This window comes from Homo sapiens, chromosome 1 (assembly GCF_000001405.40).
Source record: "Homo sapiens chromosome 1, GRCh38.p14 Primary Assembly".
Lineage (NCBI taxonomy): Eukaryota > Metazoa > Chordata > Mammalia > Primates > Hominidae > Homo > Homo sapiens.
This window is the reverse complement of record NC_000001.11, coordinates 153923116-153947078: the sequence shown is the minus strand read 5'-3', so window position 1 is coordinate 153947078 and position 23963 is coordinate 153923116. Positions and strand designations below refer to the sequence as shown.

The 23963-nt window shown below is 54.4% G+C and overlaps 1 protein-coding gene and 1 long non-coding RNA gene across 21 annotated transcripts, besides 8 other annotated features; one reads left to right on the top strand and one right to left on the bottom strand.

Moving 5' to 3' along the window:
* On the top strand, window positions 185–17578 carry DENND4B (DENN domain containing 4B). 17 transcript variants are annotated; one of them, XM_047435916.1, is made up of 28 exons: window positions 185–259; window positions 2682–3021; window positions 3949–4201; window positions 4454–4523; window positions 4723–4892; window positions 4966–5210; window positions 5639–5705; window positions 5790–5848; window positions 6031–6175; window positions 6473–6648; window positions 6823–6923; window positions 7275–7490; window positions 8034–8179; window positions 9216–9355; window positions 9465–9591; window positions 10331–10537; window positions 10891–11019; window positions 12115–12319; window positions 12777–12944; window positions 13208–13596; window positions 13760–13882; window positions 14049–14218; window positions 14302–14437; window positions 14639–14875; window positions 16015–16132; window positions 16222–16387; window positions 16476–16540; window positions 16637–17578. In XM_047435916.1, exons 1-28 carry the CDS (start codon window positions 190–192, stop codon window positions 16780–16782), a joined length of 4584 nt encoding a protein of 1527 aa, XP_047291872.1. In that variant the 5' UTR covers window positions 185–189; the 3' UTR covers window positions 16783–17578. The 17 variants fall into 17 exon arrangements, with proteins under 17 accessions (XP_047291872.1, XP_011508521.2, XP_047291868.1 ...); NM_014856.3 differs by lacking the exon at window positions 185–259 and adding an exon at window positions 361–778; NM_001367466.1 differs by lacking the exon at window positions 185–259 and adding an exon at window positions 1823–1944.
* Window positions 250–1149: a silencer, noted in NCBI's record as "silent region_1346". NCBI's record gives its function as "represses an Ori minimal core promoter by ATAC-STARR-seq in GM12878 lymphoblastoid cells {active_cell/tissue: GM12878}" and the evidence as "EXISTENCE:reporter gene assay evidence [ECO:0000049][PMID:35858748]".
* Window positions 250–1171: a biological region, named in NCBI's record as "H3K27ac hESC enhancer GRCh37_chr1:153918384-153918884".
* Window positions 671–1171: an enhancer, noted in NCBI's record as "H3K27ac hESC enhancer chr1:153918384-153918884 (GRCh37/hg19 assembly coordinates)". NCBI's record gives its function as "activates a minimal SCP1, AML or CMV promoter by ChIP-STARR-seq in naive H9 embryonic stem cells {active_cell/tissue: H9 hESC(naive)}" and the evidence as "EXISTENCE:reporter gene assay evidence [ECO:0000049][PMID:30033119]".
* Window positions 1640–1689: an enhancer, noted in NCBI's record as "active region_1757". NCBI's record gives its function as "activates an Ori minimal core promoter by ATAC-STARR-seq in GM12878 lymphoblastoid cells {active_cell/tissue: GM12878}" and the evidence as "EXISTENCE:reporter gene assay evidence [ECO:0000049][PMID:35858748]".
* Window positions 2010–2109: an enhancer, noted in NCBI's record as "active region_1756". NCBI's record gives its function as "activates an Ori minimal core promoter by ATAC-STARR-seq in GM12878 lymphoblastoid cells {active_cell/tissue: GM12878}" and the evidence as "EXISTENCE:reporter gene assay evidence [ECO:0000049][PMID:35858748]".
* LOC101928059 (uncharacterized) lies at window positions 11839–23706 on the bottom strand. 4 transcript variants are annotated; one of them, XR_922160.3, is made up of 4 exons: window positions 23117–23706; window positions 20641–20838; window positions 18309–18444; window positions 11839–12343 (listed from the first exon to the last, which is right to left on the bottom strand). It is a non-coding gene; the product is annotated as an uncharacterized LOC101928059 (long non-coding RNA). The 4 variants fall into 4 exon arrangements; XR_007066631.1 differs by having other exon boundaries at window positions 11839–12330; XR_426846.5 differs by lacking the exon at window positions 20641–20838.
* Window positions 21800–21973: a silencer, noted in NCBI's record as "fragment chr1:153897582-153897755 (GRCh37/hg19 assembly coordinates)". NCBI's record gives its function as "represses an EF-1alpha promoter that drives an FKBP-Casp9 reporter gene in an ReSE screen in K562 erythroleukemia cells {active_cell/tissue: K562}" and the evidence as "EXISTENCE:reporter gene assay evidence [ECO:0000049][PMID:32094911]".
* Window positions 23032–23326: a silencer, noted in NCBI's record as "tiled region #4321; HepG2 Repressive non-DNase unmatched - State 1:Tss". NCBI's record gives its function as "represses a minimal TATA promoter and a strong SV40 promoter by Sharpr-MPRA in HepG2 cells {active_cell/tissue: HepG2}" and the evidence as "EXISTENCE:reporter gene assay evidence [ECO:0000049][PMID:27701403]".
* Window positions 23634–23873: an enhancer, noted in NCBI's record as "active region_1755". NCBI's record gives its function as "activates an Ori minimal core promoter by ATAC-STARR-seq in GM12878 lymphoblastoid cells {active_cell/tissue: GM12878}" and the evidence as "EXISTENCE:reporter gene assay evidence [ECO:0000049][PMID:35858748]".

Below are 23963 nucleotides of genomic sequence, written 5' to 3'. Positions count from 1 at the left end.
GCTCTATTCCACACCCTGCAGTCCTGGCCTCTCTTCCTCTTTCCAAAGCTCTTGTCATTTTCAAAAAAGAGAACTGAGAGCTTCTGGTTCTGGTCCAAAGGGAATGCCCTGTGCCCTAAACCTGGAAGTAGGGGGAGCCACCTGGGTCCCCGTAGACTAGACCTTCGGGACTTCACCTGCGCCCACATCATGCTTGCCACATCTGACTGCAGGACCCAGGCGGGAAGGGAGCGCGCCGCGGCCCTCTGGGTCGCCTGGGGTCAGTGTCCTGAGGCACGGGCTGGATGGTGGGAAGCTACCTGGGTGCAGGGGGCCCTCCCAGCCGCCAGGGGTCGGGCTGCAGGCGGCTGGGCTTTGGGCAGACGCTTGCCAGGGTCACGGCCGCCGGCCGAGGAGGAGGGGTGGGGGTAGCGGCGGCGCCCGCGGCCCGGAGCGGGGGTTGGGGGAGTAGAGAAAGCGGGGCGCGCGGAGGAACGCTGGGTCCCCGGCGCCGCGGGAGCTGGGAGGACCGAGCCGGCCGAGCGAGCAGCGCGGCAGCACAGTCCCCGCGTGGCGCAGCGCGGCGGGGACGCGGGGACCGCCCGGATCTCCTTCCACTGCGCCCCGCGCTCTGCGGTCCTCGGCCGCCTCTTCTTCCTTCACTCACTGCCCGGGCGGGAGCGGCGCCCAAGTCGGGTGCGCCATGTCTGGGGCCGGGTAGCCCCGCCGCCCGCCGGCCCGCCAGCTCGCCCTCCGAGCCACCCGCCAGCGGGCCGGCCGGCCGGGAAGCGCGGGACAGGCAGGTAGGGGCTGGACCGGGCTGGGCGGCAGGCGGGGACGGGCAGGAGGGAGCGCGGGCGGCAGGCGGGGTGGGGGATGGCCCCCAGCTGCTGTCCCTCACTGCACATCTGGTTCCGGTTCCTCTCTCCTGGGGAAGTGAAAGTGGAGGGGAGGGCACCTCCCGCAATTAGCTCGCCGTGCCCGGCCTCCTGCACCCCCTTCTGCTCCCGTGGGTGCCGGAGTCGGAGCCGCCCTCCCTCCCGCTTGGGTCACGCGGCGGCCGGCGCTGCTGCCGTCACGTCCTCGGCCGCCGGCGCGCCTGCTTCTCTGCCCTCCTGCTCCTTCCTCAGCCTCCTCCCCCTCGGCGCGCCCTCTGCCCCAACCCGAACTTCCCGTCACCCGGCACGCGGGCGTGGGGACCCGGAGTGGGCCCTGTGCCCGTTGTCTTCCCTAGGGAGAAAGGGCTGCTTTCTGCAGGACTCTTCCCTGGCTTGGTGAGGGGAGGCCCCGGTGCGCAGGTCCTGCGGATGGGTGCCACCCACTTGCCCCTCAGAAGGTCCCACCTAATGGCCTCTGCCTGCTGCCTTGGGCATAGGGCTCCCATTCGCCCTCAGTGGATGAGGGACAGGTCTGTGCCCCAGAATTAAATCAAGAGGCTGACGCTGACTCCTGGCTTTACCTCCCAGAAGTGGAGTCTAAATTTAGCTGGGGTTGGTGTGTGTACGTGTGTGCGTGTGTGTGTGCGTGTGTGTGTGTGTGTGTGTGTCCAGAGGCCAGGTGATGAAGAAAGCCAGCCTGGCTCTATGAGATTCCTTATTCCCTGTTCTCTGGGGGAACAGCAGGAGGTTAGCAGGACTGCACATCCTGGAACCATTCTGAGCCTCCTCTGCCTTGCTCAGGATCCTATAGTCTGAGATTCCAACTTGGCGTAATGCTGTGCTGGCACCTTCAATGGTAACCCCACCACCGCCACCGCCACCACACACACCCATAGGCTGACTTCCTCTGAGTTGCAGCTTCCCCTCCACTGTTTCAGGAAGTAACCTCCCTTCCCCTCTGAAGCACCCCCCACGCTTCTGGGCCCCTGCTGCGAGCTACCCACCAGGCTTTTTCCCAGCTTCTGCACCCTGGGGCGCCTCAGGACCCTTGGGGCTCCTACTCCCCGGGGTTGGGCCATGGAGGCAGGTGAGAACTAGGCTGTTGTGGGCCTGTTTCTGTCTCTGGGCTCCATGGTGGAGGGTGTGGGATGGCCGGGACTTGTCTCTCACAACTGCTTTGGATCTAACGAGCTACCTAAGGATCCTGGAGGTGTGAGAACACTGGATTTTGGGCCAGATTGGTGGAGTTAAGCTAGGAGAAAGGACACTTGGGTTCGTTGAAAAGACTCTTAAAGCTTGGGTTTTGTGGGCTTTCTCAGAAACCCATGGGGTCCTCTTAAAAACCTAGGAGTGGGCTCTTTAAGAACATTGGCAGGATCACAAGGTTCTTATGGTGTCATAACTAGAGTAGGAAGGTCAGAAACCCTTGAAAAGACTGTAAGGTTGGTATGATGTCATGGCCAGCATGAATGATGTCATGGAAGGCTATTACAAAAAAGATTGTGATCTCTGTGATGTTATAACTGGTGAGCCTTTAAAAGGGACACATGGACAATGTGAATGTCATAGCTCAGGTTAGCTGTGTGTGGTGGAGTTTAGGTTCTTTGAGGGGAGTGCCAGGACCATTAAGTGGGAGGGATCTGGTCTCTTTAAGAAGCTGTGGTGGGCAGTGATGTCACAGGGGGAAGAGTTCAGGATTGGCCGACCCCTTATCCTGCCTTTCTTTGGAAGGACTAGGAAGAGGAGGGGAGCAAGAGGGTACCCTGGTTGCCATGGCATCCCCAGCCTTCCTTGCTTCATCTCTCTCCCACTTGACCATTCCAGATGCAGTGAGTGAGGGGGGGGCCATGGCGGAGGAGCGGCCCCCCCGGCTGGTGGATTACTTCGTGGTAGCTGGGCTTGCAGGGAACGGAGCACCCATCCCTGAGGAAACGTGGGTTCCTGAACCCAGTGGGCCCCTGCGCCCTCCCCGGCCAGCTGAGCCCATCACAGATGTGGCAGTCATCGCTAGGGCACTGGGCGAGGAAGTGCCCCAGGGCTACACATGCATCCAGGCTTCTGCTGGGGGCCACCCCTTGGAACTCAGTGCTGGACTTCTGGGTGGAACTCAACCCGTCATCTGCTACCGCAGGGGCCGTGACAAGCCCCCCCTCGTTGAGCTGGGGTGTGTGCCCCTACCCATGCTGGCACCAGGGGAGGCTGGGAGGGACTCCAGTGAGACAGGGAGAGGTAGGACTATGGAACAAGGGAAGGGCAATGGGGATGGGAGCCTGGTGGGCCAGGGGCCAGGAAGGAAGGACTGAAGTTGTATGTACTTAGTCCTTACAGATGCGATTTCATGTGCTAGTGCTGCTCCTTGCTAGCTCTGAGAGCTTAGGCAGGTTTTTGAGCTCCTCTGGGCCTGTTTTCCTCATCTGTCAAATGGGGAAAATAATTCATCCTCATAGGATGGTCGAGATTAAATGAGATAACCCATGTGACAGACTTAACAGAGTCAGTCAGTGGTAGCTTGTATAACTATTTTTTTTTTTTTTTTTTTTTTTATAGACAGAGTCTCTCTCTGTCACTCAGGCTGGAGTGCAGTGGTGTGATCTTGGCTCACTGCAACCTTCGCCTCCTGGGTTCAGGCAATTCTCCTGCCTCAGCTTCCTGAGTAGCTGAGACTATAGGCATGTGCCACCACGTCCAGCTAATTTTTGAATTTTTAGTAGAGATGGGGTTTGACCATGTTGGCCAGGCTGGTCCTGAACCCCTGACCTCAGGTGATCCACCTGCCTTGGCCTCCCAAAGTGCTGGGATTATAGGCATGAGCCACCGTGCCCAGCTGACCCTTAGTGTTTATTAATGAGTATGAGAGCCATAGAAGGCATGCAGGATTGTTGCTGACCATGAAATAAGGCCAAAGGCCAAAGAAAGGGCACAGGATTCTGGAGGGCAGAGTTCAGCAAGAAGAGGTGGGCCCTAGTGTTAGAGTTTGACAAGGCTGTGGGTACAAGGCAAGTTCAGGGGATTAGATAGGCAGATCTGGCAGGATTGGGTCTTTGTCCTCTACCCTGACCTCTCAACATCTATCTTTGCTCTCTGTGCCAAGGGTGTTGTATGAGGGGAAGGAACGTCCCAAGCCTGGCTTCCAAGTGCTTGACACGACACCCTACAGCCACTCAGCAAACCTGGCCCCTCCAGGCCCCGGGCACCCCCGCACCTACCTCACTTACCGGCGGGCAGCAGAGGGGGCAGGGCTGCATGCCCTGGGCATCACTGACCTCTGCCTGGTGCTGCCCAGTAAGGGCGAGGGCACTCCTCATACTTACTGCCGGCTGCCCCGCAACCTCAACCCTGGCATGGTGAGTGGGGCCAAGAGCTGACACCTGGTCCTCTTGGTGTAAGAGTGGGTGTGGACACTGGGAACAAAGGGCATCCCAGGACCAAGGCTCTGACCACAGGGGTGAGTCCAGAGGGGTAACTCTGGTCTTGGGGCACTGGGATTAATGGGAGCTTTAAAGACAAAAGAACATTTAGGGGTGGTAGAGAGAAAGTGGACCCCAGAAACCTTTGTTAGCTATGTATCTGCTTGTCTCTTGCCATTTCTGGGGTAGTGGGGCCCAGCAGTGTACCTGTGCTATAAGGTGGGCCTGGCGAAGGCCAACACGCTGGTGTACGAGGCAGGTGAGTGGCCCCTTTATCCCTCCAATCCTGTGACCCTACATCCCTTTGCCCTGGTGCCTCTTGGCAGGCACCTTAAGTGTCCCCAGAGTTTACTTTCTCTTTGCTACTCGGGCCTTCTCTGGGATCCCTTGGTTCATTTCCCTTGGAGTCTGATGGACCCTGCTCCTTTTGGGTACCCCCAACTATGCTGGGGGTGCAGAGCTGCTGGGCCGCTACCCGGAGGAGGACAATGAGGCGTTCCCGCTGCCCGAGTCAGTGCCCGTCTTCTGCCTGCCCATGGGGGCCACTATCGAGTGCTGGCCTGCCCAGACCAAGTACCCCGTGCCCGTCTTCTCCACCTTTGTGCTCACGGGTGCAGCTGGTGATAAGGTGGGTGTGTGGAGTGTGGCAAGGGGTCCAGGCTATGCAGGGCCTGCCTGACTACCCTTCTGCCCCCTGCCAGGTGTATGGTGCCGCCCTGCAGTTCTACGAGGCGTTCCCAAGGGCCAGGCTATCAGAGCGACAGGCACGGGCACTGGGCCTGCTGAGCGCCGTGGAGCGGGGTCGGGCACTGGGGGGCAGAGCTGTGCGCAGCCGGCGTGCCATCGCTGTGCTGTCCCGCTGGCCTGCCTTCCCTGCCTTCCGCGCCTTCCTCACCTTCCTTTACCGCTACTCCGTCTCAGGCCCCCACCGCCTACCCTTGGAAGCGTGAGCATGGCTCCTCTGCCATTGGGAAGGGGTTAGGAAGGGATAAGGGGGCCAGGAGAGATGGGAGAGATTCAGATGTGGGTGGGGGGAGGGCTGGGCACAGGGTAAGGGACAGGGCTGCAGTGTGTGGTTATACAGTTTATCCACTGTAAAAACGCCACGGGCTGAGGAGGGGAGCAGGGCCTGAAATCCAGTCTAAACTTACTAGTTAGGTCCTGGCAAAGGGCTGTGTATGCCCAGGGAGGATTTCTTTTCTGATCTGCACAAATTATATGCATAATGGAGGTTCTGTTGGCTGATAACAGGTCTCAAAGTGGGGTTCAGGAAGGAATAAGGTTCTTGAGAACAAGTGAAAGAGCTGAGAAAATGTGGAGGGAGGACAGGGATGGACGGGGGAGTATGCTCTGACCTGTTTCTCTGTCCCCCAGGCACATCTCCCACTTCATTCACAACGTTCCCTTCCCTTCCCCACAGAGACCCCGCATCCTAGTGCAGGTGAGAGCTGAGGCTGGGGCCGGGCTGATGGAAGGAGGGGAGTTGGCATCATTACCCTGAGCCGTGGCTCTTCTTCCCTTCCAGATGTCTCCCTATGACAACTTGCTCCTCTGTCAGCCTGTATCCTCACCCCTGCCCCTCAGGTATGTGATCAGATTGTGGGGAGGGGAGCTTTAATGACCAAGGACATGGTAGGTGCTGGGCAGGTGGGTGCAGCTGTTGAGGTTTATGCAGGCTGGGTCCAGGTGGTGGCTGTGCCTGGCATCTGGGGAAGGGTCCCCAGGGTATCCTGGTGACCCTTTCCCCACCTCGGCATTGCCTGCAGTGGTGCCAGCTTCCTGCAGCTGCTGCAGAGCCTGGGCCCTGAGCTGGCTATCACACTGCTGCTGGCTGTGCTCACAGAGCACAAGCTGCTAGTCCACTCGCTGCGGCCAGACCTGCTCACCAGCGTCTGTGAGGCCCTCGTCTCGGTGAGTGCCGCCCCGCCTGGCCCATCTTCCCCAGAACCATGGTTCTTTCTGGTGCCCCTATCCCTGCCTGGACTCTTCCCTTTTCCTTCCTTGTGGAGGATCCTCAGCCCCTTTCCCTGGGCACAGCCTGCAGGAACACATAGCTTCCATCAGGAGCTCTTCTCTAGAGCCTACTTCCAACAGCCTCTCTCAACAGGCACCAACTCCCCAAGGCCAATGCCCTCTCTTTCTCTCTCCTGTGCCTCCCACTGCTGCCTCAACCCCCTGTTCACTGGTTCTCACTGCCTGGTGCTTCAGATGATCTTCCCACTGCACTGGCAGTGCCCCTACATTCCTCTGTGCCCGCTGGTGCTGGCAGATGTGCTGAGTGCCCCAGTGCCCTTCATTGTGGGTATCCACTCCAGCTACTTTGATCTGCATGACCCGCCTGCTGATGTCATCTGTGTAGACCTTGATACCAACACGCTCTTCCAGTAAGAGGCTGGGTCTCATTTGGGGGCTGCAGGGTGGTGGGCAGGAATGGGCTAGTGTGTGGAGTGCTACGGGCTCAAAAAGAGCTTCAGGCACAAAGTGAGGGAGGCTGGCAAGGAACCCCGTCACCCTATCCCAGAGCCTCGCCACTCTTTCCCCTTATGCTTTTCTCACAGGACTGAGGAAAAGAAGCTCCTCTCCCCTCGGACCCTGCCCCGCAGACCCTACAAGGTTCTGCTGGCCACACTGACAAACCTGTACCAGCAGCTGGACCAGAGTGAGAAGCCTGGGTGGGGAGGGAGGCTGGGAACTGTCATTGCCCTCAAACCTCCAGTTTGCAGAGGTCTGTGGGGAGCTAGACATTTCTTAAGGAGGTGAGTGAAGTTAGGATTGCATTTGGTGGAACTGAGGGAGATTCCAATTCCAACTGAAGCTAGAAGGAAGGGCAGACAGTATTCCTGAACATGTGGGAAATATCAAGCTTGAACCTGTTAGTTGAAGGTAATACTTTAGTTGCTACTGGTGCAAGGTCTGCCAGAGGCTGGAGGTGGAGATGGAGGCATGAGAGCAGAGTTGAGGGTAACACTATGGGAGCCAGCCCTGACTCTTAGGCTGCCCTGGCCTCCAGCATACACTGGACCTGAGGAGGAAGCATCCCTGGAGTTCCTACTGACAGACTACGAGGCAGTGTGTGGCCGCAGGGCCCGGCTGGAGCGCGAAGTCCAAGGAGCCTTCCTCCGCTTCATGGCCTGTCTGCTCAAGGGCTACCGGGTCTTCCTGCGCCCACTCACCCAGGCCCCCTCCGAGGGAGCTCGTGATGTTGACAACCTTTTCTTCCTGCAGGGTATAGAGGGCCTGTCTCTGCTTGGAGATGTATCATGGGAGGAGGTGGCGAGGGGCTGGGCTCTGTCAGAAAGGCGGAGGGGACTGGGAGCCACTCCATTGTTTATTCCTTCACTAGGCAAATGTTTTTATGGGCACCCGCTTTGAGCCATTTAACTCTTCTGGTCTTGGGGGGGAATCAGGGTACAAAGATGAAACCAGCTGTGGTCCTGCCCTCTGGAGCCCCAGGCTTGGGGTAGCCACAGTAATCCCTGTAGTGAGCAGCCCCCACGGGCAAAGCTCTGTGCAGGGACCCTGCCCTTGGAGACCCCCCCCAGTCTGAGGCAGTGGGTACAGGCAGACAAAGGGAGGGATTCTCTAGGGCCATTGTGCTGGGGGTGCTGAGCTGGTCAGCCTGGTATTAGGGTAGTTGTGCCAGAGGGTCCAAGAGATTATGGCTTTGGGCCTGAGTGGGCAGGGAGCCAAGAAGAGATTCAAAAAAGCTATGGCTGTGGTGGAGAGCCCTGGTCACACCCCTCCTCTGCCCCATTCTCATACCCCTCAGGCTTCCTCAAATCCCGGGAACGCTCCAGCCACAAACTTTACTCTCAGCTGCTGCACACACAGATGTTCTCACAGTTCATTGAGGAGTGCTCTTTTGGCTCTGCTCGCCATGCTGCCCTTGAATTCTTTGACTCTTGTGTTGAAAAGGTATCATCCCTTCTCTATGTGCTCATTGGCCTCTGCTGTCTCCCTCATTGTCTCTGTTGCCCCAAGGCCATTTTAGACGGAATCGGGCATGTTCAGGGTGGTATGGCTGTAGACCCCAGGGCCATTTTATTTTATTTATTTATTTATTTTAATTTTTAATATTTTTTTAAGTTTTCTTATTTTTCATTTTTTTTTTTTGAAACGAAGTCTTGCTCTGTCGCCCAGGCTGGAGTGCAGGGGCGTGATCTCAGCTCACTACAAGCTCTGCCTCCCGGGTTCACGCCATTCTCCTGCCTCAGCCTCCTAAGTAGCTGAGACTACAGGCGCCCGCCACCACGCCTGGCTAATTTTTTGTATTTTTAGTAGAGACGGGGTTTCACTGTGTTAGCCAGGATGGTCTTGATCTCCTGACCTCATGATCCACCTGCCTCGGCCTCCCAAGGTGCTGGGATTACAAGCGTTAGCCACCGCGCCTGGCTTTTTTTTTTTTTTTGAGATAGTTTTGCTCTGTCTCCCAGGCTGGAGTGCAGTGGCGCGATATCGGCTCACTGCAACCTCCACCTCCCAGGTTCAAGTGATTCTCCTGCCTCAGTCTCCTGAGTAGCTGGGATTACAGGTGTGCACCAATATGCCTGGCTAATTTTTGTATTTTTACTAGAGACAGGGTTTCACCATGTTGGCCAGGCTGGTCTCGAACTCCTGGCCTCAAGTAATCCGCCCACCTCGGCCTCCCAAAGTGCTGGGATTACAGGCGTGAGCCACTGTGTCTGGCCCCCAGGGCCATTGTAAACACAACTCTATATCTTAACTGTGACTGGGATGGCACTTCTGGAGTTATACAGTGCACAACCTGTGCAGCCACACACAGCTGGCCCCGTACATGTAATGTACTGTCCTCCCGTTCCTGACGCCATCTTCCCAGGCTGTGTCTCTTTCCTTGTGGATGAGCTTTCCTGGGAGATGCCATCGTCTAGACACCCTGGCTCTGCTCCATGCCCACCATCTCAACACTTGCTCTCTTAAAATCCTTCTCCAGGTCCACCCAGAGCAGGAGAAGCCTGAGCCGACACCCTTAGTGGAGCTAGAGGAGCTGTCAGGAAGTGAGCTCACTGTCTTTATCACACCTCCCGAGGAGCCTGCCTTACCAGAGGGCAGTGAATCCACTCCCCAGTACTGGTGAGAGTCTCTTAGCCTTCACATGTTCCAGGGTCCCATAGACTGGTCCAGTCCAACTCGCTTCGCCCTGTGCTGACTGCCCCGATGTTGCTTCTCTCTGCCCCTCCAGCTATGATGGATTCCCAGAGCTACGGGCTGAGTTGTTTGAGTCTCTTCAAGAGCAACCTGGGGCCCTGCCTGTGCCAGGCCCTTCCCGTAGCGCCCCCAGCAGTCCTGCTCCTCGCCGTACCAAACAGGTAAGCAGTGGGTGGACCGCACTGAGGGACCCGGATCAGGCTGAAGGCTGCTGCTGCTTCAGTTTCCTCATCTACAAAATGGGTATAACAATAATACTTAACCCATGAGGTTGTTAGGAGTTTAAATGTGCTTGGCACATAAGCAACCCTGTATAAACATTAGTTGCTATTATCACTGTCATTATCATCATCATCATCACCTCCGTCTTCTGAGCACTCTGGGAATCCAGGGGCTGGCCATGTCTTCTAGGGCACCTGCCCATGCTCAAGGGCCAGCCTCTCTGCACGGGGCTCCAGGCAGGGCTGCAGCCTGTGAAGTACAGCATCCCTTCTCCTCCTTAGAGCACAGACCCTTCCTCAGAGAAGGTGCTACTTCTTCCCACACCACTTTAGGGTCTGTCCTGGTGGCTCATGCCTTTAATCCCAGCATTTTGGGAGGCTGAGGCAGGCAGATCACTTGCGCCCAGGAGTTTGTGACTAGCCTGGGCAATGTGGCAAAACCTTGTCTTTACAAAAAGTACAAAACAATCAGTCGGGCTTGGTGGTGCGTCCCAGCTACTTGAGACTGAGGTGGGAGAATCGCTTGAGCCCAGGAGGCCGAGTCTGCAGTGAGCCAAGATTGCGCCACTGCACTCCAGCCTGGGTGACAGAGCGAGACCGTCATAAATAAATAAATAAATAGATAAGTAAGAAAGACCTGGCATTGTACTCACCCTGATGTGTCCCCTGTCCTACCTAGGAGATGAAAGTTGCACAGCGGATGGCACAGAAGTCAGCAGCTGTGCCTGAGCTGTGGGCCCGGTGCCTGCTGGGGCACTGCTATGGGCTGTGGTTCCTGTGTCTGCCTGCCTATGTGCGGTCGGCACCCTCCCGAGTGCAGGCACTGCACACAGCCTACCATGTGCTGCGCCAGATGGAGAGCGGCAAGGTGGTGCTCCCTGATGAGGTAGGCAATCTATGTGACCATGCTCATACCCAGGCCCAGTGAGCCTTGTGCAGCTGGAGAGGGCTGTGAGAGGGAAACTTGGTGGAGACTAAGGAAAGAAGTTGCAGAGCCCCAGAGCTGGGCAGATTATCTATAAACATTCGTCGAGTGAATAAGCATGTTCAGGGTTTAGCAGTGAAGACTGTAGGGTGGCAGGGTCAGCAGAAAGGGTGGGTGGCTCTGAGGTAGCCCCAGGACCTGCCAGGGGCCAGTGATGTCTGTGAGAATTGGGGAGGCAGGAAGAGGGTGCTTGCTGAGACTTTGGTTTTGGTTGAGAGTGAGTCTCCCATTGTCCTGTGCCTCTCCTGGCCCAGGTGTGTTACCGGGTACTGATGCAGCTCTGCTCACACTATGGGCAGCCTGTGCTGTCTGTGCGGGTCATGCTGGAGATGCGTCAGGCAGGCATTGTGCCCAACACCATCACCTATGGCTACTACAATAAGGTACCTACTTTGGGGTGAGGGGTGGGATGGCAGCTGTGCCAGGGTGTGTGAGGGGAGGCTGCTGCTGCTCCCCTCGCTCCTTGGAGATTGGGCTGGTACTGTTTGCCTAGGTCCTGGAACCACTGTCATCCACATTGCACTCCTGTGGTGCCTTAGCACCTACAGTTTCTCAGACGAGGCTGCTTTGATTCCCACTCATGACAGCCCTGCCTACAACTAATAGTGTCAGCCGCTAAGCCAGGCACGGGTCCATACGCATCACACATTTTACATCATTTTATCTTCACGACAGCCCTATGAGGTGGGATGATCATTATCCCCATCTTATAGAAGAGGAGATGAGGTTGTAGAGAGTTAGTAACTCGTCCAAGGTCCCGCAGCAAAGAAGTTAAGGAGTGAGAATATGGGCACAGGGCTGGGTGCAGTGGCTCATGCCTGTAATCTCAGCACTTTGGGAGGCTGAGGCAGGCAGATCACCTGAGATCAGGAGTTCGAGACCAGCCTGGCCAACATGGTGAAACCCTGTCTCTATTAAAAATACAGAAATTAGCTTGGTGTGGTGGTGGGTGCCTGTAGTCCCAGCTACTTGGGAGGCTGAGGCAAGAGAATCACTTGAACCCGGGAGGCAGAGGTTGCAGTGAGCCAAGATTGCGCCACTGCGCTCCAGCCTGGGCGACAGAGCAAGACTCCGTCTCGAAAAAAAAGAAAAAAGAATATGGGCAGAGGCATATCCATATCTCCCGAATTCAGGCCCTTAGCCATGATACTAAACTGCCTCCTGTTTTTTAGATGAGGAGACTAATGACCAAATAAATGAAATGATTTCTTCAGAGCCATATATTTTATATTTCTAAGCAGCAAGGTCTGGGTACAAATTTTCTCCACTGCCTCTGGGTTCTTCTAGGCCCCTTGGGAGGCAGCTGCTGCCTACTGTCTCTTCTGGGCTCTTGTTCCTGGCTGAGCCATTGGCCGGACAGTCCTAGACAGGATGTCTGCAGGGGAAGGGCGGTCCCTGGGGCTCCAAGACAGGGAGTGGGTATGAGGCAGGGTTAGGGTGTCGAGGTAGGCCATCCTGATGGGCACTGTGCTTGGTAGGCTGTGTTGGAAAGCAAGTGGCCGTCTGGCACACCAGGTGGGCGTCTGCGCTGGGCCAAGCTCCGGAATGTTGTCCTGGGGGCTGCTCAGTTCCGCCAGCCCTTGAGAGAACGGCAACAGCAGCAGCAGCAGCAACAGCAGCAGCAGCAGCAGCAGCAGCAGGAGCAGGTGTCAGCACATCAAGAGGCAGGCAGCTCCCAGGCAGGTGGGTAGGGCCTGGTGAGACAGGCTTGGGGATGGAGTAGCTGGGCTCAGGCAGGGAAAGGCATAGAGAGTTGGGGCTGGTCTAATGGTTGGCATTGGGTTTCTGGGGATTGATAAATTACACTTGACTGGTAACAAAAGGGATAAAAAAATTAGCTGGGCGTGGTGGCGCGCACCTGTAGTCCCAGCTACTTGGGAGACTGAGGCAGGAGAATCACTTGAACCCAGGAGGCAGAGGTTGCAGTGAGCTGAGATGGCGCCACTGCACTCCACCTAGCTACAGAGCAAGACTCCATCTCAAAAAACAAAACAAAACAAACAAACAAACAAACACAAAACGGATAAAGTTTTGCCTGGGAGGAACCCTGCAAACCCTGGTCCATCTAAGGAGCTCTATTTTGGAACAGGGGACTGGGTTCCTAGCTGGCCGCCTCTAAACCCCTTCTCGTCTTTTACAGAGCCCTATTTGGAGCGCCCTTCCCCTACTCGCCCTCTTCAGCGCCAGACTACTTGGGCTGGGCGAAGTCTGAGAGACCCAGCCTCACCCCCTGGACGCCTGGTGAAGAGTGGTAGCCTGGGCAGTGCCCGAGGGGCACAGCCCACTGTGGAGGCCGGTGTGGCCCACAGTGAGTGCCCTTGTCTGGCTCCCTCACTCCCCCAGTCAGCTTTCCTAACCACTTGCTAGTGAGGTGGGGAAGACCAGAAACAGAGTGGAGGGCGGCCCTCTGTGGTGGGTGCTGTAGATTCTGAGGGAATCTCGCCCAGAATATCATCATGGTGGGGGTGGTGGCACCAGAGTTTGTGCAGCCAGGAATTGTGTTTATTCAGGAAAGGGGAAGTTGGTGCAGAGGCTGGGGTCCATCTTCCCTCATTCTTTTCTGTGCTGCAGTGATAGAGGCCTTGGGGGTCCTGGAACCCCGGGGATCACCTGTGCCCTGGCACGATGGAAGTCTCTCAGACCTGAGCCTGACAGGGGAGGAGCCGCTCCCTGGAGGCAGCCCAGGGGGCTCAGGCTCAGCCCTGAGTGCCCAGTCCACTGAGGCCCTGGAAGGGCTAAGTGGGCGGGGACCCAAGGCTGGTGGGCGACAGGATGAGGCAGGCACCCCCCGACGAGGGCTGGGTGCCCGCCTCCAACAGCTGCTCACTCCTTCCCGCCACTCCCCTGCCTCCCGCATTCCCCCACCTGAGCTGCCTCCTGACCTGCCACCCCCAGCCCGCCGCAGCCCCATGGACAGTCTTCTGCACCCCCGGGAGCGCCCTGGATCCACTGCCTCCGAGGTAGCCAGTGAAGGAGGGTCCAGATGCCTTAGCATTAGTGGGCTTGGGGAGGGGCTACGACTGGAAGAATGCTCAAAAAGGGGGCTCTGAGGGGTGCTTGAAACACATATCCTGGGTGGAAGAGCATGGGGTTGGCTGACCATGGTTTCTCATGTCATGGTAGAGCTCAGCCTCTCTGGGCAGTGAGTGGGACCTCTCAGAATCTTCTCTCAGCAACCTGAGTCTTCGCCGTTCCTCAGAGCGCCTCAGTGACACCCCTGGATCCTTCCAGTCACCTTCCCTGGAAGTGAGGATAACCCCTCCCACACAGATGTGCTTGAACACACATAGCACACACTCACCCTGTCCAAGGCAGGAGATGGGGAGGAGGTGGGAGGGGCTGGGGAAGGGGCATGGGCTCCAGAGTGCTGGCGGCCAGACAGCACCTACTTCCCGACTCTCCCTGCCCACAGATTCTGCTGTCCAGCTGCTCCCTGTGCCGTGCCTGTGATTCGCTGGTGTATGATGAGGAAATCATGGCTGGCTGGGCACCTGATGACTCTAACCTCAACACAACCTGCCCCTTCTGCGCCTGCCCCTTTGTGCCCCTGCTCAGTGTCCAGACCCTTGATTCCCGGCCCAGGTGCCCAAGGCAGGGCAAGTGCTGTGGGTGGGAATAGGGAGGTGAAGGTCCAAAAGCTGACCCCTGCTGCTATCCCCCTGCAGTGTCCCCAGCCCCAAATCTGCTGGTGCCAGTGGCAGCAAAGATGCTCCTGTCCCTGGTGGTCCTGGCCCTGTGCTCAGTGACCGAAGGCTCTGCCTTGCTCTGGATGAGCCCCAGCTCTGCAACGGGCACATGGGGGTAAGGGCTGGGCCAAAGGGGCATGAGGAACGGGAATGTTGCCCTGTGTGGGGCCTGTGGGGTGCCAGGGAGAGATGGGCACATCTCTTGCCCTTGAGGGCAAGGGGCATCCCAAAAGCTGTTGGATGTGGTGGCTCAGTGGGAGGCAAGGCTCTGGGGATGTACATGCCCTCTACTGCCCTCCCCCTTTGTGCCTGATAGGGAGCCTCCCGGCGGGTTGAGAGTGGGGCATGGGCATACCTGAGCCCCCTGGTGCTGCGTAAGGAGCTGGAGTCGCTGGTAGAGAACGAGGGCAGTGAGGTGCTGGCGTTGCCTGAACTGCCCTCTGCCCACCCCATCATCTTCTGGAACCTTTTGTGGTATTTCCAACGGCTACGCCTGCCCAGTATTCTACCAGGCCTGGTGCTGGCCTCCTGTGATGGGCCTTCGCACTCCCAGGTCAGTGCCCCCATGTGGCCCCTGTTTCCTAAGTGCCTCCCTCATCTCTCAGCCATTTGTCCACTGTGTCCTTGGCACTGTAGAAAGAGCATAGACTGGCCAGGCACGGTGGCTCATGCCTGTAATCCCAGCACTTTGGGAGGCCGAGGTGGGCGAATCACCTGAGGTCAGGAGTTCGAGACCAGCCTGACCAACTGGGAGAAACCCTGTCTCTACTAAAAATACAAAAAAAATTAGCCAGGCTTGGTGGTGCATGCCTGTAATCCCAGCTACTCGGGAGGCTGAGGTGGGAGAATTGCTTGAACCTGGGAGGCGGAGGTTGTGGTGAGCCGAGATCGCGCCATTGCCCTCCAGCCTGAGCAACAAGAGCAAAACTCCGTCTCAAGAAAAAAAAAAAGAGCATAGACTGGCTGGGTGTGGTGGCTCACGCCTGTAATCCCAGCATTTTGGGAGGCCAAGGTGGGCAGATCATGAGGTCAGGAGATCGAGACCATCGTGGCTAACACGGTGAAACCCCGTGTTACTAAAAATACAAAAAATTTGCCGGGCATGGTGGCGGGCGCCTGTAGTCCCAGCTACTCGGGAGGCTGAGGCAGGAGAATGGCGTGAACCCAGGAGGCGAAGCTTGCAGTGAGCTGAGATCGCGCCACTGCACTCCAGCCTGGACGACAGAGCGAGACTCTGTCTCAAAAAAAAAAAAAAAAAAAGAAAGAGCATAGACTTTGGAGTCTGCTGCACCTGGTTCGGATCCTTGCCGTTTCACTTTACCACTCTGAGCCTCAATTTGGTCATCTGTAAAATGGCATAAGCACCTATCTCACTGGGCTGGTGTGTGGACAACCTTGTGCAGAGCCTGGTACCTAAACAAATGATTCATTCATATTTGTCTATTCGTTCCACCAGTATTGAGTGCTTTTTATGTTCCAGGCACGGTTTTAGGCACTAGGTATGTAGCAGATTACAAAACAGTCCCTGCTCTCAAGAGCTTACATTCTTGTGGGGGATAAGAATTCCTTTCCCACTTCTCTTTGGCTGTGTCCTGTAATGGCCCTCTGTCTCTTTGGCATCACCTGTCCGTTTCTTGTCCTCTGCCTCCCATTCGTTGAGCCTAACTGTCTCCACTATCTTGGCTCCCCCAGGCCCCATCTCCTTGGCTAACCCCTGATCCAGCCTCTGTTCAGGTACGGCTGCTGTGGGATGTACTGACCCCTGACCCCAATAGCTGCCCACCTCTCTATGTGCTCTGGAGGGTCCACAGTGAGTCTGGTATTTGGCCTGGGTGGGGAGGGTGGGTCCCATACCCAGAGGGCTCAGTGATTCTGGTGGCCTTCTTTCCTTTCATCCAGGCCAGATCCCCCAGCGGGTGGTATGGCCAGGCCCTGTACCTGCATCCCTTAGTTTGGCACTGTTGGAGTCAGTGCTGCGCCATGTTGGACTCAATGAAGTGCACAAGGCTGTGGGGCTCCTGCTGGAAACTCTAGGGCCCCCACCCACTGGCCTGCACCTGCAGAGGTATGGTGCTACCATCTGGGTGATCCCTGGTCTGTCCGGGGCTCCACACCCCTTTTCTCTCACTCATACACTTCTGCCTCCACTAAAGGGGAATCTACCGTGAGATATTATTCCTGACAATGGCTGCTCTGGGCAAGGACCACGTGGACATAGGTGAGATTGCAGGCAAGGGGCTGAGGAGTTTAGGGATCTGGGGCCAGGTGTGGGAGGCTGCGGTCCTAACATGTTGACTTCCACCTTCTTCCCTAGTGGCCTTCGATAAGAAGTACAAGTCTGCCTTTAACAAGCTGGCCAGCAGCATGGGCAAGGAGGAGCTGAGGCACCGGCGGGCGCAGATGCCCACTCCCAAGGCCATTGACTGCCGAAAATGTTTTGGAGCACCTCCAGAATGCTAGAGACCTTAAGCTTCCCTCTCCAGCCTAGGGTGGGGAAGTGAGGAAGAAGGGATTCTAGAGTTAAACTGCTTCCCTGTTGCCTTCATGGAGTTGGGAACAGGCTGGGAAGGATGCCCAGTCAAAGGCTCCAAGCGAGGACAACAGGAAGAGGGATCCACTGTTACCAAAAGTCCTGATTCCCCCATCACCAACCTACCCAGTTTGTTCGTGCTGATGTTGGGGGAGATCTGGGGGGAGTTGGTACAGCTCTGTTCTTCCCTTGTCCTATACCGGGAACTCCCCTCCAGGGTACCCACAGATCTGCATTGCCCTGGTCATTTTAGAAGTTTTTGTTTTAAAAAACAACTGGAAAGATGCAGAGCTACTGAGCCTTTGCCCTGAATGGGAGGTAGGGATGTCATTCTCCACCAATAATGGTCCCTCTTCCCTGACGTTGCTGAAGGAGCCCAAGGCTCTCCATGCCTTTCTACCTAAGTGTTTGTATTTTATTTTAAATTATTTATTCTGGAGCCACAGCCCCCTTGCTTATGAGGTTCTTATGGAGAGTGAGAAAGGGAAGGGAAATAGGGCACCATGGTCCGGTGGTTTGTAGTTCCTTCAAAGTCAGGCACTGGGAGCTAGAGGAGTCTCAAGCTCCCCTTAGGAAGAACTGGTGCCCCCTCCAGTCCTAATTTTTCTTGCCTGCCCCGCCTTGGGGAATGCCTCACCCACCCAGGTCCTGACCTGTGCAATAAGGATTGTTCCCTGCGAAGTTTTGTTGGATGTAAATATAGTAAAAGCTGCTTCTGTCTTTTTCCTTCGGCCTCCTGTTCCCTGGGTCTGGGGTAATGCGGGGATACCTTTCATTTTCCCCAGGCTATACATCTGCTTTTCTACCTTCCCATCCTTTATAGTGTTCAGGCATACCCTGCGTCCCCTGACCATGTCTGGTACCGGCTCCTTGAGGCACAGGGAGTTCTCAGAGCAGGAGAAGGGTGAATCTGGTGCTGGCTATGGTGGTGCCAGTCCGTGTGGCACTTCCGGCCCTCCCACACAATCACCCCCTTGTCCCTCATCTATACCCCACACAAAGGCTCCATTCTCTGGGGACCCTGAGCTCATCTCTGCCTTATTTCCTCTCTTCCACCTTCCCCCACCAACCTTCTCCAGTACCTCCACAGGGATGACAATCATCTCCCCAGTAGTTGGTATTGGCAGCCCTCATGCATCCTGGCAGTCATCCTAGGCTGCCTGAGTTGCTGTAGCTGCAGGCACTATTCCTCCAACCAGGGTCTCAGCCTGGCAACAGCACCAGGAAGGCAGGGGCAAAGATTAAGGGACTTGCTGCATGTGGACATCAGGAAAACATGCATCATTTTCCTTATCCCTTTGGTCCACTTAAGAGCTTTTTTTTTTTCTTGTATAATGAAATAAACACAGGAAATGACTCCTAAAAGAGCGGCAAACCAATTACCAAAGGGAATTAGCCAATAAAACAAATGCCTTGGGGAAGGAGAGCAGGCGTATCAATGGAGGAAATAACTTACGAGAGCACATTTCTGGGGGGTGACCACTGGATGGAGAGTGAGGTACTACTTCTGGATGCTGAGTCTTTCAAGCCAGAGGACCATTTCCTATCCTGTCTTGAGCATGTTAGGATGCTTTTTCAGTGTCCTAGAGGAGCTGCACAGAAGAGAACCAAGGGGCTCAGGAAATGCCATTTATTTGTCTTACTAGGAGATGCTTTCTTCAGAGGGAAATTCTCACGCCACCCCAGTTTCTCATCAGACTGCAGTCCCCAGAATAAACCTCTTCCTGTTTCATCCCCCAAAGACCTTTTCAAGGGAGGACCTGGCCTTTTAAAATGAAGTTTCTGTTGAGTGTAGTGAGCTCAGCACTGCACTGAACTATAGAGAGAATTTCAGGGCTCAGTCCCTACCATAATGGAGCATACAGTCTTACTGGTCTGGAGGGCCCCTTTGTTCACAAACAATAACAATAATGAACTCTCTCTCCCAGCTTATGCTTCTCACTTTTGGGCCTCCTACAGACTTGCAGTCAGATGGAAGAACTACAGAATTCTTTAACCATAAGAATATCTAGGCTGGGCACAGTGGTTAACACCTGTAATCCCAACACTTTGGGGGCCAAGGCGGGCAGATCACTTCAGGCCAGGAATTTGAGATCAGCCTGGCCAACATGGCGAAACCCCATCTCTACTAAAAATACAAAAATTAGCCGGGCATGGTGGCTTATGCCTGTAATCCCAGCTACTCGGGAGGCTGAGGCTTGCTTGAACCCAGGAAGTGGAGGTTGCCATGAGCCAAGATCATGCCACTGCACTCTAGCCTGGGTGACAGAGCGAGACCCTGTCTTAGAAAAAAAAAAAACAAAAATCTGGGAATTTTAATAGCAAAGTATTCAACATGATATCTGACACATCTGTGTGTCCTATGGCCTAGGGAGCTGTATGAGAGGAAGGATATGCCCAAGTTATCTGGCCCATTTTCTCTTCCCAGGCTTTGGAGTGTATAGGCTCAAGTATAAAAAATTTGGGCTGGGCGCGGTGGCTCACGCCTGTAATCCCAGCACTTTGGGAGGCCGAGGTGGGCAGATCACGAGGTCAGGAGATCGAGACCAACCTGGCTGACACAGTGAAACCCCGTCTCTCCTAAACACACACACACACACACACACACACACACACACACACACACACACACACAAAAATTAGCTGGGCGTGGTGGCACCCGCCTGTAGTCCCAGCTAATTGGGAGGCTGAGGCAGGAGAATCGCTTGAACCCCAGAGGCAGAGGTTGCAGTGAGCCGAGATTGCACCATTGCACTCCAACTTGGGTGACAGTGAGACTCCGTCTCAAAAAAAAAAAAAAAAGGTCGCCTGAGGCCAGGTGCAGTGGCTCACTCCTGTAGTATCAGCACTTTGGGAGGCCGAGGAGGGTGGATTACTTGAGGCCAGGAGTTCGAGACCAGCCTGGCCAACATGGTGAAACCCCATCTCTATTCAAAATACAAAAAATTACGGCTGGGCACGGTGGCTCACGCCTGTAATCCCAGGGGAGGCCAAGGGAGGCGGATCATGAGGTCAGGAGTTCAAGACCAGCCTGGCCAACATAGTGAAACCTCAACTCTACTAAAAATACAAAGATTAGCCAAGTGTGGTGGCACGTGCCTGTAATCCCAGTTACTTGGGGTGCTGAGGCAGGAGAATCGCTTGAACCCAGGAGGCAGAGGTTGCAGTGAGCCAAGACTATGCTGAGACTACGCCATTGCACTCCAGCCTGGGTGACAGAGTGATACTCCGTCTCAAAAAAATAAAAAAATATACAAAAAATTAGATGGGTGTGGTGGCGGGGGCCTATAATCCCAGCTACTCAGGAGGCTGAGGCATGAGAATCGCTTGAACTTGGAAGGTGGAGTTTGCAGTGAGCTGAGATCACTCCACTCCACTCCAGCCTGGGTGAGAGAGAGAGAGAGACTCCGTCTCAAAAAAAAAAAAAAAAAAAAAATTTGGCTGGATGTGAGGGCTCACGCCTGTAATCCCAGCACTCGTAATCCAGCACTTGGGGAGGCTGAGGCAGGCACACTGCTTGACTTCAGGAAGTCGAGATCAGCCTGGGCTAAATGATGACAAAACCCCATCTGTCTCCATAAATTTTTTTAAAAATTGAGGAAAATATTGTGCCTGCCACTTAATAATTTTATGATGTCATACAAGTTACTTTACTGCTGTGCCTCAGTTCTTCCTCACCTGCAAATTGGGGGTCATTTAAAGATTAACTATATAATCCATAGCTTCAGAAAGGGAACAAACAGGTAGAGCCTGCATTGGGCACAGGTCATGTCCACTACAGTACTGACCTCATGTACTTGTCTTCCTTAAAGCTCGATCATTCCAGATTGAAAGTCCCCCTCCATGGCCTAAATTTTGGTCTTGTTGAAAAGTATTTTCTCGGGTCTTACTTTTATCTTCCTTGGGCTGGTATATACTACCATGTTTTTCATATCTCCTCAAAGCCCTTGAAGGGTGGCATTTCAGACAGCAAATAATGCAATGGACTGATAATGGACAAAGAAGTAGGTTAGGGAAAGATGAATGTACCCTCAAAGAGGGCAATGACTTTGTCTAATTCACTGCTATATCCTGAGCACATGGATGAGTGCCTGATAACCTAATAGGGGCTCTATCATGTGTGTTCAATGACTGAAAGGAGTCTGAAAGCGTTAAAATATTGCAGTTAGTAGAGAAATAATTTTCAGTACAGTATAAGACCAGTACCATGGGTAGAATACCAACAGAAGCTGAATTTAGAGGTAAGAGAGTGAAATTGTTGAAAAAGCAAGGAAAGTTCTCAAAATAGTTACTATATATTATGTTGAATGCTTTAACTATATTCTTGACAGTGCCCTGAGTATTTTGAAGGTATTATTTTGTAATTCTCATAATTACCTGGTGAGCTGGGTACTCTTATTCCCATTTTATAGATGGGGAAACTAGGGGATAGAGAATAGAGATAAGTAACTTTCAGCCAAATCACACAACTGGTAAGAGGGAGAGCCAAGATCCAAACTCAGGCAATCTGACTCTTGAGACCATATTCTTTACCTGGACACCATACTAGCATAAAAACAAGTTTTAATCTATTTAAAATAAGAATTAGGCCAGGCGTGGTGGCTCACACCTGTAAATCCCAGCACTTTGGGAGGCCAAAGCGGGTAGATCACTTGAGGTCAGGAGTTTGATACCAGCCTGGCCAACATCTCTACTAAAAATACAAAATTTAGCTGGGTGTGGTGGCGGGCACCTGTAATCCCAGCTACTCAGGAGGCTGAGGCAGGAGAATTGCTTGAACCCAGGAGGCGGAGGTTGTAGTGAGCCGAGATTGCGCCACTGCACTTTAGCCTGGGCAATAGAGGGAGACTCTGTCTCAAAAAAAAAAAAAAAAAAAAAAAAGTTGAATGCTGCTTGCAGTGATGTACACCTGTAGTCCCAGCTATTTGGGAGGCTGAAGTGGGAGGATCTCTTTTTTTTTTTTTTTTTTGAGACAGAGTCTCGCTCTGTCGCCCAGGCTGGAATGCAGTGGCAAGATCTTGGCTCACTGCAAACTCCACCTCCCGGGTTCACGCCATTCTCCTGCCTCAGCCTCCCGAGTAGCTGGGACTACAGGCGCCCGCCACCACGACCGGCTACTTTTTTGTATTTTTAGTAGAGACGGGGTTTCACTGTGTTAGCCAGGATGGTCTCGATCTCCTGACCTCGTGATCTACCTGCCTCGGCCTCCCGAAGTGCTGGGATTACAGGCCTGAGCCACCGCGCCCGGCCGGGAGGATCTCTTGAGCCCAGGAGTTTCAGAGCAGCCTGGGTAACATAGCAAGACCTCATCGCTAATTTAAAAAATAAATAAAGTGGGGGCTGCGGTGGGCGCGGTTGTTCACGCCTGTAATCCCACCACTTTGGGACGCCAAGGCGGGTGGATCACTTGAGGCCAGGAATTTATGAGACCAGCCTGGGAAACATAGTGAAACCCTGTCTTTACCAAAAATACAAAAATCAGCCGGGCGTGGTCACGTGCGCCTGTAATGCCAGCTACTTGGGAGGCTGAGGTGGAAAGATGGCTTGAGCCTGGGTGGTGGAGATTGCAGGCAGCTGAGATCACGCCACTGCACTCCAGCCTGGGCGACAGAGGGAGACTGTCTCAAAGAAAAAAAAGAAAAAAAAAATGGGTGCGTCTGTGTTTGTGTAGGATCTACCTACGGCTTTAAGTTGCCATGTCCTCCATTATAATTTCATTTCCATTGCACAGCATGACTTTTAAATAATTTAAAAAACATGTTCAAATACCTGTGGAGGCTGGCGTGGTGGCTCACACACCTGTAATCCCAGCACTTTGGGAGGCTGAGGCAGGAGGATCACCTGAGGTCAGGAGTTCGAGACCAGCCTGGCCAACATGGCGAAACCCCGTCTCTACTAAAAACACAAAAATTAGCCGCGCGCCTGTAATCCCAGCTACTCGGGAGGCTGTTGAGGCAGGAGGATCGTTTGAACCTGGGAGGCGGAGGTTGCAGGAACTGAGATTGTACCACTGCACTCCAGCCTGGGAGACACAGTGAGAAAACAACAATAACAAAATGCCTGTGGAACCAGTTGTTTCTGGGTTTAAACCACTGCTTAGTCACTAACTAGCGGTCTGACCTTTGGCAAGTTACTTAACCTCTCTGAGCCTTAGTTTCCTCATCTACTTGGGTTCAAATTTCAGCTCTACCACTTAACGTGTAACTGGACAAATTTTTTGATCCTAATTTTCCTCATTTGTAAAGTAGGGATAACAGTACCTACCTCACAGTCATGAGGAATAAATACTTCATGTAAAGTTCTTAGCACAGAGCCTGACACAGTCTCTTTCCAAAAACGTTAACTACTATCATAACCTTAACACCCGGACTCTGTTACTTGGTCCCTATCCTCAAGGTGCTCCAGAAACGCTCGCTGAGTTTAGGCGGGCCTAACTGCTCCGTGGAAGCAGGGAGGCCAGCAAAAGGAGCTGGCCCTTGAGTTAATTAGGTGGAATCGGGCGGGGTGGGAGGCTGTTTCCTCGCTGAGAACCTAACCAGACCAGGAGTTCCCAAGAGAAGGAGCTGCGAGGGCTCTGCACACCGTAATTCCTCAGCAACTTGGCTAGCTGCTTTTTTTTTTTTCCTGCTGTCGTGGTTTAGTCACGACAGGACCAAGCGGAGGTACGATGAACACCAGGAAGCTCAAAGCCTTTGGCAGACGGAGACAGGCCACACCCCAAAAAGACGGCAAGGCTCAAGCGCCTAAAGCTAGTTCTATCGTGAAATTTCCTAGAGTCTGTCGCGACGAAACACCGCCCACCGCAGACCCCATCGCCGTTCGCCAGTCTCCATCTTTAGAATTGAAAGAATGAGAGATGGCCAAAGGGGAATCCCGGTTTGGAGAGACTGGGGTACGGCGGCTGCCTGGGGACCAAAACGTCTCTAAGGTAAAGTTGCAGCCTGAAGCGATTTTTTGACCCCCGACACTTAATGGGCTGTCGAAGACCCGGATGTGTCTGGGACTGGCAGAGGTACCCATTAACGCGCCCCCGCTAGACCATCCCCCCTCCTCCGTTTATGATTGGGTTTTAAGCACGCCAATCATCACTTCTCCGGCCACTCATTCTTCA